This window comes from Homo sapiens, chromosome 13, assembly GCF_000001405.40.
Source record: "Homo sapiens chromosome 13, GRCh38.p14 Primary Assembly".
In the NCBI taxonomy this organism is placed as follows: Eukaryota; Metazoa; Chordata; class Mammalia; order Primates; family Hominidae; genus Homo; species Homo sapiens.
Genome location: NC_000013.11, coordinates 31,853,442 through 31,869,729, shown reverse-complemented (window position 1 = coordinate 31,869,729; position 16,288 = coordinate 31,853,442). Strand labels below are relative to the sequence as shown.

The 16,288-nt window shown below is 38.5% G+C and overlaps 2 long non-coding RNA genes and 1 pseudogene across 3 annotated transcripts in view; 1 reads left to right on the top strand and 2 right to left on the bottom strand.

The window, feature by feature from the left end:
- The window catches only part of EEF1DP3 (eukaryotic translation elongation factor 1 delta pseudogene 3), a 112,802-nt pseudogene that overhangs the window by 89,855 nt on the left and 6,659 nt on the right, over positions 1-16,288 (bottom strand). The window lies entirely within an intron of this gene.
- LOC124900336 (uncharacterized) overlaps positions 1-16,288 on the bottom strand; it is a 33,342-nt gene that overhangs the window by 10,817 nt on the left and 6,237 nt on the right. The window lies entirely within an intron of this gene.
- LOC124903149 (uncharacterized) lies at positions 10,446-10,911 on the top strand. Its single transcript, XR_007063746.1, has 2 exons — positions 10,446-10,578; positions 10,736-10,911. It is a non-coding gene; the product is annotated as an uncharacterized LOC124903149 (long non-coding RNA).

Genomic DNA, 16,288 nt, shown 5'->3' with positions numbered 1-16,288 from the left:
TCTAGAAATCTGACTTGCCCACTGTACTTGTGAGATACTGGAGGTTGCCTTATTATCCCTAGTCCAGTGTCTGATCTTGTGGGCTCTCAGGGAATGTTTGTTTAATGAATAAAGGCTGTGTAGGTGCCCTAATAATAGCAAACACTTAGCAGTACTTCCTGTGGGCCAGACTTCATAAATATTAACTCATTTAATCCTCATTAACACAGATACTGCTCTGTCTCTCATTTTATGAATGAGGAAACTGAGGCACAGACAGGCTAAGTAACTAGCTCTAGCTCATATAACCTAAGCAGTTTGGCTCCAAAGTGTGTGTTCCTATGTTTCCTCTCTGTTTCATATATTTTAAGTAAAAATAATGTCTTTAAAGTAAAATGTTCCCACCACCCCAAAAAAGGAAATAAATGTTCCACTATGGAAGGTAAAGAAAACTATACAATTACTAAAAGTAACAGGACTTTTAGAATTTCTATGACAATCTATGGAAATAAATATTGCTGGCAGCCTTGAAACAGCCCAAGTATTTCTCTACTGCTTGGAAGAACCTGTAGATTTATTTTGTTTCTGCCTTTTTATAGATTTCATTTTTTCTTTTTAGTGTAAGGACTCTAAATTTTGAAATATGATTTTAAATGTTTACATATTTAAATTATTTGCATTCTCATCATGGATTTGCATATACCTTAACATTATCTATGAAAATATAGCAATAAATATAGCTTTGAAATATTTCAGGATACTTGAACCTAGCGTAAAATTTCAAACAGTTTATGCTTAATGTCATATTTTTTGGAAGACTATATAATCACATTCATTTTATCCGAGTACAGCAACTTTAAATCAATGCATTGTTCCCCTAGGGTCACTATGTCTCCTAAGCATAAAGAAATACACAATCTCTTGTATCACTATATCTAAAATGTATTTGGAAATATATTATCTTTCCATATTTCAAAAAGAATATTCATCAATAAAGTAATGCTTTCAAACTTAAAGAAGTTTCAGAAGATTCATGGTAAGAAATATATATTATATTATAATTCAGTACATACATGGGTATATATATTTATTTGTGTATATTTATTTTTTGCAAAATATTTAACCTCACAACACACAATGCACTTTAATATTTTTACTATATTCTATCTATTTTTTTAAAAAATCGTTGGGGGCTGGGCGCAGTAGCTCACATCTGTTATCCTAGCACTTTGGGAGGCCGAGGCCGAGATCATTTGAGATCAGGAATTTTAGACCAGCCTGGCCAAGATGGTGAAAACTCATCTCTATTAAAAATACAAAAATTAGCCAGGCATGGTGGTGGATGCATGTAATCCCAGCTACTTGGGAGGCTGAGCCATGAGAATCATGTGAACCTGAGAGACAGAGGTTGCAGTGAGCCGAAATGGTGCCACTGCACTCCAGCCTGGGTGACAGAGCGAGACTGGGTCTCAAAAAAATAAAAAACAAAGTTGGCCTGGACTCATTAAATTGATTTTCTGAACCACTGATGAGTTATTAATGGTTCATGATCTGTAGTTTTTCAAGACTGAAGAGGTAGACTCCACATTTTCTGTCTTTGATCCTGGAAATGCTGGGTTACTCTCTTACTAGTGGGTCACCACTAGTTATAAGGAAGATCAGCTGTGGCCTCAGGCAGCCAAAAGAGGTACCACATCAGTGTGGGGTACACTTACTCCATTTTCTAGGGACAATGACCTCTTGATTAATTACTTTGCAAATTACTCATTAAAACTTGGCTTTGCAAAGTTAGTCCCTGGTCCAGTTTTTGCTGCCAGATTTCCTGTTTACACTGAACTCAGTATGTTAGGTTATTGTCCCCACTGAGAAGTACTTTGGACAAGGAAAAAAGGTGAAGCCAAGCAAGAAACAGATTCCTAGCATCATTTCCTGGTGTGCTTCAGCAAAGAATTCATGAACAGCAGGTGAAGTCTGGAAGCCTCCTGCAGATGCTAAAGTGACCAGCAGCATTTTATAGCAAATGGTCCAGAAGGTTAACATACTGTGATTAGTCCGCACTGGTTTCTCCTGGCAGGCTCTGACAGTGCAGCCCACTGGTCACTTGAGAGATCTCTCAGAGAGGGGTTAAGATGAACATTTTCTAGATTCCTAAACTAGGAGGCAGAGGTAAAGCACTCTTGAGCATGCACTGATGTATATTTTATCCTTCCATAATCATATCTTCCCCCCAAATCATATGGATATGGATGTCTGCTTCAATTAAATTAGCTACTACAGGTACATTCATGTTCTTCATTTTAGAGTTAAGAAAAGCTGCAATAAGCAAGAAATTTTTCTTGGAGGGGGAAGCATGGCATGCAAATGATTAGTTTCTCTCTCTCTCTCTCTCTCTCTCTCTCTCTCTCTCTCTCTCTCTCTCTTTCTCTCTCTCTCTCTCTCTCCTCCCTACACCACTCCCAGGAGGATTATAGACCAACCTTTTTATCATATAGTTTTTTTTGTAAAGAGGCCACCCATTTATATACTGGCGACTTGGCTTCATCTAAGATGAAGTGCAGTTTTTCAGCTGACACCAAATAGCGTTTTGCAAACCACCACAGTACACAATTTAGGGTGGTTCAGTGATGTCTACCCTAGCATCACACACTTCAGCCATTAAAACCATGAATCAATATTAAGAGGTACCAAACTCTGGTCTTGGAGTCTTATCAATATGTATGTAACCCACCAGGGAAATTCTATGCTACCCAAGAGAGCTGTAGAGCTTAATTTTCTTTATGTCTAACAAAATCAGCCCTGCTTGATTCCATTCCTAAGAACAAGAAAACAACTTTGAACCTTGTGCAATTGAGTACTTAATTTTATATAGTGTTCTTTGCCCATTGTTTTTTCCACGTTCACCCTCCGTCTTCAACAGCCTATCAAGGGCTGGTATTCTGTCTTGAATTTTTCTTGTGTCATTTCCTACTACCCTTTATTATGCCTCCCCTTAGGCAAGAGTATATACCCGACTCCTAGACCCTGACCAGCTGATTTCTGGGCCTACATAGTATATGCTAGTAGAGAAGTAATTGGACTCTTGGATGGAAGCATGTTCGAAGAATAGGGCCTTGAGGTCTAAGGAAACTTACAGTCTTCTAGAATTACACATCAAACAACTAATAAAAGTTGTCTTTGATCCATTAGAAAGTCTTACAAAGCACTGTTTGCAATACTGTAATATCAAGTTCAAGAGAATATTAATAAAGATTATTAGTAAGAGACTATCAGGCTATGGGATTTAAAAAATATTTTTAGTAAAATATTTTTAGTAAACAGTATTTTTTGCAGCAGTTAATTTGTAAATGCCTTAGGACAGCATGTTGGCCTAAACATAAAACCTTTACAGCTTTACAGCACTATCAGGTTTTGTAATTCTCATTTTGAGACACACTATCATGCACAGGAAATCACACTGAGTATCTTCCCTTCAGATATTCTGGGTAGAAGTATTTACTGGTCATATTGGTAGAAAATATAACACATTTCTGTGGGCTAAAAAGTTACTACATAAGCACTACAGGAAAACCTTTCCTGTGTCTTATGTCCCAAAACACAATTAACTAGTATAAAAGTAGAATATTCCCCAAATGAGAAAACTCTATAAATCATTTAATTTTATTTTTCTGATACTCACGCTTAAATACATTTTCTTCATTGAGCAAGAAAGAAGACAATAAGCCAAACAAATATAGCAAATATAGAGGTAGAGAAAATAAGCCCCACATTTTTTCTAGTACCTGGATTTGAATATTATATTTCTAATTATAGAATCATAGGCAAGGCTGTTGAGTCTGGAAAGAAACATTAGTGAGAAGAGATCATTTCCTGGGTAAAGTCGAGTCGATCATTTCCTAAAGTATCATTAATCTTTCTTTTTTTTTTTTGTCCTATCAAGACATAAAATGTGGATGCCTTTTAGTTTAATGATGCAAGCTTCCAGGTAATCAAATTAGAAATGCAGAAACACAATACATGGCCCAGTGTTGATAAGCCAGCCACAGTCTAGCCGATTACAGCATCTTCCTTGTGTAATTTTCAGAATCATTAGGATGCTACTTACACACACACACACACACACACACACACACACACACAAAATCATTCTCTGCGGTTCAATTCCCCCTCGCTGCAGATCTCATTAAGACAGTATAATCTAAAACCACACATGATGAAATTATCATACCCATCAGTAGAGCAGACAGAGTGGTGCTCTCTAACTGCTTTTCCCTGGCTAACAATAATGATGGCAGAGCATTCACGTCACTCTTGCTCTGGGTATAGCTCTTGCTGACCTATTGATTTTTCACTTCATCTGAACGGCTTATCTAAATTCCCCAAGCTCCACCTGGATCAGCTAAGTGGCACTCACTTTCAAACCCAGAGCCTCATGGTTTTCTACTCAGCCCCCAAAAAGAAGAGGCCTGCCCTTCCAAAGGAAGCTGTGGCTTGGCAATGAGTTCACCAGGGAAGCTGGCTTCTCCAATGTGTTAGAGACATTTTCATTCAGACGTTTAAATGAACGTCTCTGCATATGGAGTGATATGTAAGAAGAGTTTTTACTCCAGAACAAACTGTAGCGGATTGAACTGCTGTATCCTTGGGATCTATGTTTTTGCTTTCAACTTTTTCTGAATGACAATTGTTTTAAAACACTCAGACCCAAGGCACTTCAAAGCATTCATGAGAGAGTTCAGAGACAATTTAAAGATAATAAAGCCTCAGGCCTGTAATCCCAGCACTTTGGGAGGCCGAGGTGGGCGGATCACGAGGTCAGGAGTTCGAGACCAGCCTGGCCAATATGGTGAAACCCCATTTCTACTAAAAATACAAAAATTAGCAGGGCGTGGTGGCATGTGCCTGTAGTCCTAGCTACTAGGAAAGCTGAGGCAGAAGAATCGCTTGAACCCAGGAGGCGGAGGTTGTAGTGAGCCGAGATCGTGCCACTGCACTCCAGCCTGGGCGACAGAGTGAGACTCTATTTCAAACAAACAAAATAACAACAACCACAAAAAATAAAGCCAAGGCCTCCATTCTCCTTTTTCCATCACTATCCCAGGATGAGTAACCAAATTACCTCAGATAAGAGATAACTAAATTAGTTATTTTTATAACAAGGGCCTACTATGTGTTAGGCACAGCTCTGGGCAGTTTACCTACTCTCTTATTTTCCCCTTTCAACAAACCTTGAAGTAGGCATTATAATCTCCATTTTATAGATGAGAAAACAAAGCACCTACTATGTGTCAGGTCCGGGTCAAGTGCTGGGATTGAGATTAGTGATCAAGCATAGAAGCAAAGGTCTGGACTTGTCCGACCCTGGTTCTACTGCTCAGCAGTGTGATTTATTCCTTCTTTACTGCTGTGCACCTGACCTCATCAATGTAGGGGCCATACATTTAAGAGAAGGATGGGCAATCAGAAACAAGCCTGGGTTTGTCTACAGCACCACACCCATACTGCTCAACTGCCTTCCACGTCAGCCTCAAACCAAGTGCTCATACTGGTGGCCACCATGTGGAGGGTCTGCCTATCCTCACCCACTATTAAAGTCAGGTCTAATTGGGCAGATATATATTTTTTTTATTTCTCCTAATGCTATCCCTCCCCAAGCCCCCCACCCCCCACAACAGGCCCCACTGTGTGATGTTCCCTGCCCTGTGTCCATGTGTTCTCACTGTTCAATTCCCACCTATGAGTGAGAACATGCGGTGTTTGGTTTTCCGTCCTTGTGACAGTTTGCTCAGAATGATGGTTTCCAGCTTCATCCATGTCCCTACAAAGAACATTAACTCATCCTTTTTTATGGCTGCATAGTATTCCATGGTGTATATGTGCCACATTTTCTTAATCCAGTCTACCATTTATGGACATCTGGGTTGGTTCCAAGTCTTTGCTATTGTGAATAGTGCCGCAATAAACATACATGTGCATGTGTCTTTATAGTAGCATGATTTATAATCCTTTGGGTATATACCCAGTAATGGGATCGCTGGGTAAAATAGTATTTCTAGTTCTAGATCCTTGAGGAATTGCCACACTGTCTTCCACAATGGTTGAACTAGTTTACACTCCCACCAACAGTGTAAAAGTGTTCCTATTTCTCCATATCCTCTCCAGCACCTGTTGTTTCCTGAGTTTTTAATGATCGCCATTCTAACTGGTGGGAGATAGTTTCTCATTGTGGTTTTGATTTGCGTTTCTCGGGCAGAGATTTTTACACAGTCATCCCCAGGGATTCTTCCTCATGAAGTGAGGGAGGTGTGTAGAAGTGTTATTCTGATAAACACCAGGGAAAATGAACTTATAAACTATTGGATAATATATAATCAAATGGAATGATAGTTAAATAGGAAAACAAAAATAATGCTCTGTGAGCAAACCCAAAAAGGAATGGGATGATTTCTAATTATCTTGTGAACTTGGCTAGTAGAGAAAAGCAAATAAAGATTTCGGTCTAGAATGGCTTGAGGCCCTAAATCACCTGGTTTAAACCTGCAGAAGAATCAGTTTTGTTGAACAACTGCCATAGCTCCAGATGACTGGCATTCATAGAGGAAAAAAAAAATGCCAAAAAGGCTACTAATAATTCTAGTCTGGCACTGAAAAAAGAAAAAAAATTAAATGCTGCTCTAGGACAAAAGAGGAAGCTGCTGTAGTAACCAGACTTTTCTACAAAACCGAAACACGTGTTCACCTAATCAAATGGCTCCTAATAAGCTATTTATAGCCACTGTCACCACAGCTATATAGAAGTTTTGAACAAGAAAACTATAGGTGTTTGTCACAGGCAAAAATGGATCTGCTTGCAATGCCCAAATAAATATTGTAAAAGATGGAATAAAAAATGGAGATATTGTCTCCGTTCCATGAAAAAATTTTTTTCAGATTGCTAAGCATGTACCAAGAAAGATTATTTCTGTGGACACACACACACACACACACACACACACACACACACACACACACATCACGTCTTTAAGTCTTTAGTACATAGCCAGGTCCTTATATCTGGGAGACGTATAACTCTAAATGTACCTAAATCTCTCTCTAGTGACTGAAAAGTTATATTTACATTTGGAGTGATGTGAGCTCTTCAAAACTCCCATTTTATTTCCCTTTAGGCTCTTGTTAATTGCATTATTTTGTCGCTCATGTTATTTACAATATACAATATACATCAAGCTGAGATTTTTAACAAAGTACAATTAATAGACTGACTTCAAGTAGAGTTGTATAATGGACTTTGCACACATAGTTGCTAAAGGGTTCAAACCTAAAAATTGTAAGGTATATTTTAGAAATTTACCAATTTCATTGTAATGGACCAGAAGCTATTTTTTAGCCTAAGCCCATTTTAAAAGGAATTAAAACCAGTAAGTGTCATTGTCCTAAATTAAATGTCAATATTAACTCCTTTATTATTAATAAAAGTGTAGCATTCTTAAAGTGCTCTTTATAGCATAAGAGAGGTGTGGAGCCACCCAAGTAACTACAGGAAATAGCTGTATATTAAACGATATTGTGGCAGGTATGAAAAGTAACTGTGACAATTTGTGGAGTTAAAAGTTTCACAAAAATTGGAGAGAATAAGAAAGCAAGCATACGCATCTGGGGTAACTTAGGTTAATGGACAAATGGTTCCACATACATAGGTTTACAGCCCTGGAGGGCACATCACCATGTTCACACAGATGGCCCAAACCATCCAGAAAAGAGAAAGTTCCTGGCAGCCCTCTCTGCTTCAGAAGACAGAGGAGTGTGTCTTCATTTTAGAAAGATTACCAACAAAGTGAGAGCTTAAGCAATCTGAAAAACTAACCTATTGGGAACATATTCGTTCCCCTACAACAGTGGATAAATGAGGCTTTGTTGTACTTGTGAAGTGGTACATGGCAGACTAAAAAAGACGTGGTTATGTCTTTTTTTTTTCTTAAGAAAAGGAAGCATAAACCCTACAAACAATGCACTAAGCTATTGCTAATGCCAAAGAAAGTGCTCTATTTGTAAACAGAAGAATCTGTTTGGCACTTAAGCAGTAATGGTTCAGGATCATCTGCAGGATAATTAAATTAACATCCGTCATTCATCACTTTCTTTGGCATTGGTTGGTTAATCCTCAATGAAGACATTCCTTTCAGTGAAGCATACCCTCTTATTTAACGTGTGTTCAAGTAAAATAGAGACCACCTTGCGAAGTTTTAAAAATAAGTAAATCCATCTACAAAAATTCAGAAACTTTACTCAAGTTCACAGATAAAACTCATCAGCAGAACTGATAGGTCCAAAGCTTGGCAGAAGGAAATTTAGCCAACAAAACAGATGGTGTAAAATAAACTCACTTACACTCTGCCTTCCAAAATTAGGTTGAGCTTTCACTCTAATACTGTATTAAGACTAATACAAAACTTTCAAAAGTAAAAATTTTATATATTTCTTTTCCCTGTATGTCTATTGGGTCAATTCATCATGGACAGCATGTGATGTGATAAAGGACAGTCCTTAAGCTCTCAAAACCTAACTGCATATGGAACCGGACTTAATTACCACTTGATTTCCTTTTGATTTACATTATTTCAGACCAGTCATTTTTACAAAGGAGATACTCTATGTCCTTCAAGCATCCATTCTTTCCACAGACCAATATCAATGCTCTTGAGGAACTTATATTCTGAGTGAAAAACAAAATAAATGTCATCAATTCTCACTGCACTTACGATCTGAAAGAACATATATTTTTTGAATGACTGTGTTTGTTGGGTGTATTTTAGAATTTCAGAACAAAGAAGGTGTATTTGGACCTATGGCTGTTCAGAATTATAGCCAAAGTTGTGGGCATATATGCCCACTGGAGACAAAATAATAAAGATCTGTTCACAAAAGTTAGATGGCAGCCCAGTTCAACCATTTGTTAGGCAATTTGGTGTCATCCTACAGCCTTCAGACCATGCTGGGAGTGGGCAGAATCACTGTCCGTGCTGTTTGGCCTCACCATAGCAGCCTCCCTCTAATTTTATGGTTTCTAAGATTCACTGGGTGCTACGGACATGAAAAAGTTTGGGTTTAAAATGTTTTATTTCCCATGGTATCTAAACTTTGGAGTTGGGGACATCGCCTGAAATTTCCATCTTTCCAGGAGCAACTTGAGTCATAGTCAGCAAAGAGGCTAAAGAGGAGAAAATCTAGAATTGTGGTTCTTAAACACTTGTTACTCATGGATTCCTTTGAGAATCTGATGAAAGATACGGACTGTCTTCAGAAGAAAGAAAAGGAGGATGGGAGGGAGGAAGGGAAAGTAGAGAAACGAAAAGAAAAAAGCACACACACATGTAAAAAAAATAGGCATATTTTTTACAAAGATTTCAAGGGAGAAATCACTGATGTCCTGAATCTAAACCAGGACCCAGATAAAATCAATGGTACTGTGGTCATTTTCCCCAGGCTCTTGTTGGCTTTGAATTGTGTTTCTTGTTTTCTAGTCCAGGGTCCAGCTGGCGTCGCTCCCTTGCTGGGTCAGTGGGCCTGGGACACTTTGTTGGGTGGAAGACAGGAGGAGGGCACAGATTCTGGGCTCCTGCTCTTTCTGCCTGCTAATCAACAGTCTTCGGCACTCAATCCTGGCTGAAAGCTCAGGAGGCTGTGCCAGCTTCGACTGTCTTCTACTAAACGAGGGTAATTCACATATAATTTCTTTTCAACACTTCCAGTGTTCCTTTCCAGTGCTAAGGACATAATCCAACAAGAAATCAAGTTCCACAGTTTTAGTAAAAAAAAAAAAAATTAAAAGTGCATATTATAATGCATTTGTGTCCAATTGACATTTCTGACAAATACTTCAACTGTTTAACAAACACTGAGGAGGAACTGAAAACACCAACAAGGCACTCATCCAATTTGCACTAGCCTGTAAGTGCTGGCAAACATCAGTGTCTGCGAAGGCTTTTAATGTTATTGATAGTTTATTCAAATAGGCTGGAGCGGTCCTCCGGGGCCTGAATCACCGCTACCTCTGAGGAATAAACCACTTATAAAGCAAAGACAGAGAGAACGTGGTCAGAAATGAGTGCTTTGCAATGCCTAAATCAAAATGGCCCTTCTATGATGCATCTGTGATGTAACCAGAGGGCAGTAACCCTTTCTTATAGTTACAACCCAATTAGCTCCATGAGGGCCTTGAAAAGCACAGAATGACTTCCTTTAAGGAAAAACAGTGCTATTTTAGAAAACTTTAACAGTGTGATGGTCACAGAAAATACCATGATCTTAAGGTTTGTTCTTTCAGATACATCCTATGGTCTCACCGAGAGGACAAAAATATCAGGGAAATAAAAAAGACATAGTACAAAAGTAAAGAAAGGGGGAGAACAGAAATTGAAGCACTGAAAGAAGATTGGATCTGGCAACTGAGACTTTATGTTGGGGGAGGAAGAAACTGGTAGAGAGAGGGCTAAAGAGGTGAAGCAGCAGCTCCTCGCTGGCCGGGGTGGAAAGGAGGCTTGACTGCCACAGATATAGGTGGCGACTAATGGGCTCAAGGCTCAGTGCTCCACAGTGGGGAAGGTAAGAGAATGAAAACATTTGAGGCTAGAGAATGACAACTTTGGTTTTTAAATGTGTATACATATACTATACACACATTGTAATATATAATTATACATAATACACACATTACACATATGTATATATTTTTTGCTTTTTTTGTTTTCTTTTTTTGCAGGAAGTTGGGGATAAGATGGAAGCAGACTGAGGAAAGAACAGGTCAAGGTAGTATAAAAAGAAAAAGAACATCAATTAGTTGAAACATGTTTGAAGAGCTTTGATGGGCTTTTGGAGAACCTTGGTAGCAAAATATGTGTTTTGGGTAAAATATTTGAATAAAGAACCAAGAAGGAATAGTGTCTGATTCCATTGGTATACAACACCTTGCTTCATACTCATCACACACAGTTCAGTATGGTGGTTTCAGACTGACATACTCAAGACACACTGGTCTGCCTGTCCCTCTGGCAACCAAATTTTGGCTACCTCATTGTTCATTAGGCTCTGAATCAGGGCCTGATCGGGGAAATAAAAGAAGGAAAAAACCTGAACCAGTTCATTTGTGAGCAGATCCAGTTAAAAGATTGATGGGGAGGAGATTTGAACTATCATGAAGTTTGGTTATTATCTGTGAAATTAGGTTTGGCATGTTGGCTCCCAAGAGAAGCAACAATTGAGAGCCAGCTGTAGAAATGGCAATTACAGGATGAAGAGGGTATCAGCATTTTGAATGGCAGTTTTTATTGGCAGATGGGCTTGGTTTTAAGAGGCCAGTTAGCAGGGTTGTGTGTCTCCTGACATTCATCTCTCAGAAGATGCAAGGCAAAAAAAAAGGTCATTTGCACTTCCATGTCAGAACCACCAGGATAACTCGGAGACCCCTTTTAGATCATGAAAATAGTGGGAGGCTCATGATGACAAGACTACCGGGCAGATGTAAGAGTCCAGATATAGAGCTCCCTCTTAGCAGGTAGACCCAAGCTTCAGCAATTTGACAACTCCATGAGGCAAGGAGTATGCCTTATGTAGAGACAGAAAAAGTCCTTAGCCTAGGGACTGAGTAGGGGGTCTTCCAGTATCCCAAAACACAAGAACCAAGGTCTGATGCCTTTAATCTATGTAAAAATCAGTATAATGATTTACTATTATGGAAAGATAGTTGGGATAAGTTGTCCTATGTGAAGAAAGCAGCTTATAAAACTGTATATTAAATAATTCAGTTTTTGTAAACAATGTTACAGGTGAAAAAAGACACCTGGGAAGAAATAAAACGCAAATAGTGATTATATTTAGGAGGTAGGATTGTGGATCGTTTCCATTTTCTTCTATTTGCTTACCTAAATCTTTACATTTTTATACACTGAACACATTGCTTGAATAGTAAAAATATATTTTAAAAAGGTATTCATACAAAAAAATGCATTTAGTATATTTTAAAATGTGTTAATCAGGTGTCACACACCTGTAGTGCTGGACCTCTGAGAATAAAAGAGCAATTTGGACTTCTAAAGCTCTTAGTGGCTGCCCCAGGATCTCTTAAGGAAAGATCAGGAGGACACAATGTAGGCTTCACTGCCTACAGTATATTTGCAAGAATGTTTAAGATCTGCTAACTACTTAAGATCTTATGGAGCCTGTAATTACATACACTCTATTTTGTCAGTGCATGAATAGTAAACTAGAGGTTGCCTATGGTTTTCTTCTTATTTGATAAGATAATACATCCAAGACTCAAAGGACAGCAAATAAAGATGATAGTTCCCCAATCTTGGCACCAGAGTGTTGACTGGAAACTTTCCTTGTATTCTACTTTTGGCGGATTTAATTCTGCTGTTCTGCTGAGTGGGTGCAACTTTCTTCAGAGAATAAGGCCACTCTGTGCTCTGCCTCTTTCCTTTGGAAGTGCTTCCTTTTCCACTTCTGCTTCCCATTCGTCTAGCCACTTCATGTAAGGAACAAAACACAGGTCCTCATGGAGAAGACAGGGTTGTAGACTGGACTTGTGAGGGTCAGTAAGGAAGCTCCTGTGAATGTGTGATGTTGAGCGGCTAGGGTGGGGTTGGTATCATAGTAATGGACATGGCTGGGCTAAATCTAGAGATAAAAATGCCTGTGACTTTCACTAGATTGTTACATTAATTTCCCAAAGCAACAATAACAACTGTAACTTTAATGCACTAGATGCCTTACACAGATTATCTTGCAAATTCAGAACAAACCTGTCCAGTAGAAATGAATAGACCTATTTTACGGACAAGGAAGCAAAGGTAGAGGGATGTGAAGCACATGCCATGGGCATATAATGTACACCTACATAAGCACATAGAAACATCCAGTTATGAAAACAACATAGAAGCTTGCTTTCATAACAGCTCATCATTAACTTCTTTTTCACTGAATGGAAGAGTTTAACTCAAAAATGAGTTTGTAAGCACATATCAAGTGCTTAAATACATAATTCTGAAGACACTCTGGGTTCTCCTAGCTTCTTCACTGACTATTAGGGTGACTTTGGGAAAAATACCTCACCTCTCTGTTCTTCAGTTTGCTAATCTGTGAAATAAAGACAATAATGGGGTGTACCACGTGGGGGACTACTGTGGGGATGAAATGATATAACGAGAGAAGGTAAAGCCCCCAGGGGTGATCCCAACCATACAGTCTTCAACAGTCATTGATTCTCTCCTCATTCTGTGGATGAGGGAAAGCAAGTCCAGATGAGCGGGAGCTGAAGATCTTTCCATTCTAAAATCATATGCAATATAATATAGCTATGACTCCAGGGACTTCTTAGCCCCTATTTTGATACTTTTTTTTTTTTTTTCCCTGACGGAGTCTCGCTCTGTCACCAAGGCTGGAGTGCAATGGCGCGATCTTGGCTCACTGCAACCTCCGCCTCCTGGGTTCAACTGACTCTCCTGCCTCAGCCTCCCACGTAGCTGGGACTACAGGCACACACCTCCATGCCTGCGTAATTTTTGTATTTTTTTTAGTAGAGACGAGGTTTCACCATGTTGGCCAGGCTGGTCTCGAACTCCTGACCTCAGCTGATCCACCCACCTCAGCCTCCCAAAGTGCTAGGATTACAGGCATGAGCCACCATACCCAGCCCCTATTTTCATACTTTTGATAGACAGAAAAGTCATTCTTCATTTCCATGCACTATTCACAGAGTTTTAACCTCCAGCTCTCACAGAAGTAAGAAAAACAATGCTGAAGTGAACATTTCTTAGGGATTGAGACTGAATTTCAAAACCTTAATAATGTTTTGGATAAGTGTGTTTTCAAGAGATACAACTAAGGTAGAGACACTGTCTAATGTGCTACCATTGTCTCTGAGTGACCAGACTAAAGACTTCTGTTGAATTTATTTCTACTGTCTGGAAAGGCATCAATGTAAAATAAGAAAATCCTGATATTTAATTCTGTCTCAGTGGGTTCTAAATAAAGTCCCTACAATTTACCTTCTTTAGTAGTGGTTCAAGGATTGTTATTGTTATTTTTGTTTTACTAGTTCAACAAATGAAAAAAAAAGAGTCAGTGGACACAGAATTTCAACTTTTCAAATCACATCTGATTTTTGTCAAAGCACAAGATACATCTTAAAGAGGTGGCAATAAATGTGTATGTTTTGTGCTCTGGATCTTCCATTTGTATTTCCAGGTCCCAAATGTCTGCTCACCTCCCTCAACCACCATGAACCAGATTCTGAGAACTCATGCCATATATCCCATATTCATCTCAATTCCTTACGTATCTTCCACAGTTCTCATCAGCCATGTTTTTATCATTTTTGTCACTTTCCCTTTTAGAATTATTTTACTACATTTCATTATTTACATGCTTTTCAGTTTTCTTCATTCCAATGCATCTGTCTTTTGTAAGATGTCATAAATATTCAGAAAAAAATATTAACTGCTTTCACATCTGGGATAAATACATTACTTTGTTTCCTTTCTTTCCCCACCTCCCTGCCCCCTCACACCAACATTTAACACTAAGGCCTATCTGAAATTTATTGGACTATTTGGTTATGACAAAAAGTATATTATTCTCTTTCTTACTGTTTTTACTTCTTAGAACTGCTATTCTATTGGTCTTGCAAACTTCATTAAATAATTGATCTTTTCTTCAAAGCTCTATTGTTCATTTGTATGTTTTAAATTAAGTTCACTAAATAATCTAAATATGGAATTTCTATTTATTTTAATCTGTCTAGTTTTCAGTCCAATATCATAGAATTTTAGTAACAGTCACTTGTAATTGATATTTTAATTTGTTAAGGCCAGTTTAACTTCATGGCTTCTATTCATTAAAAAAGCAGTTTTTATATTCTTGATTCTTCCTTCTAGATCATTTAACTATCAGATTATAGAGTATTTTGTAAGGACTTTTATTCATAATTTATAGGAATCCTTAAGCCAAAGAAGGCTGGGAATTTCTGTGTCAACCAATCAACTAACATTTTAAAATTCAACCAATATACATTAAGCTCCTACCACTTGCAGGCACAATGCTAGGCTCTAGGGCTAAAAAGATAAGGAGGGAATGCCTCTTCCCACCCCTATCCCCAAATGAGTGCAATTCAAATGCATGAAGGTTAAAGCTAAGATAGAATGCACAAACTTAGAACGGCTCCAGCAAGGCTCTTCACCTGCCCCCTCTACCCACCAGCCTCACCATTATGCGCTTTCACTTATAAGTATCAACATAAACGAAAGGCTCCAGGAAAGCAAGGGCCTGAGAGTATTTCTGCATAGATCTCATTTGACTAAATACTCCACATGTATACGGGCCTTATTTGTGTATGGAATTGGAGGTTAAAAGACATGAAAGCCTGGATTGAAAAATTTGTCTTAAGAGACATGCTTCACTGGGATGGATAAAGCCAATGATTGTCCTGACCAACCTCAAACCCAGTTCAACACCATTAGCCAGGCAGAAATGTTTTGCCAGCCATTTGAGGCTAACACTGCCACTTTAATTAAAGAGTTATGATGTCAGTTTGGAAACACAATGGGAGAGCAGCTGTGCTCCAGCAATACATTAATACAATTTCCATCAACGTGGATAAGCTCCTACACAATGCAAAGGAGATGTGCGAAAAGTTACAAGGTGAAAGCAGCTGTAAGGAGAGGGCAATCTCAGAGTTTCTGCCGTGAAGGAATTACTCTTCTTAGATTATTAGATTGACCTCTTGCTTATGCTTCCATTAATATTTCTTAACGTGCATGGTCAAGATTCTAAGTCACAGGACTTTAAAGTTGCTATAATCATTAACCAACCACATAAAGAAAAGTCATGAGGCTGACCATAGCAATAGGTCATTCAATTTACTTAGCAGTGAGCCCTAACACTCCCACCTTCATGCACTCCTGCCATTCATCGTGATAAGTAGTGCTTGAGTCTAAACCCATGTCCATCAGAGTTAATACAGGTACATTTTAAATGTTCTGTGACTAAGCTTGCCACTAACACATATTTTGTTAATTACCTTCATGTAATTCTCTCCAGTATCATTACTTCGTATGTGTGTATGTATCATCTGATCATTTGATTAATACTGACATGTAGTCAAGAAGAAAAGTATGTTTCATGCTATTTTGAGTAACTTCCATTTAGAAGCCTACTCCTGAGCACAAAATTTGCAACACACAATTCACTTTGCAACTCCAATATTTACTCTGAGAAACACCCTTTTAAAAAGATGCATGTGGCCTTCATGTTTACT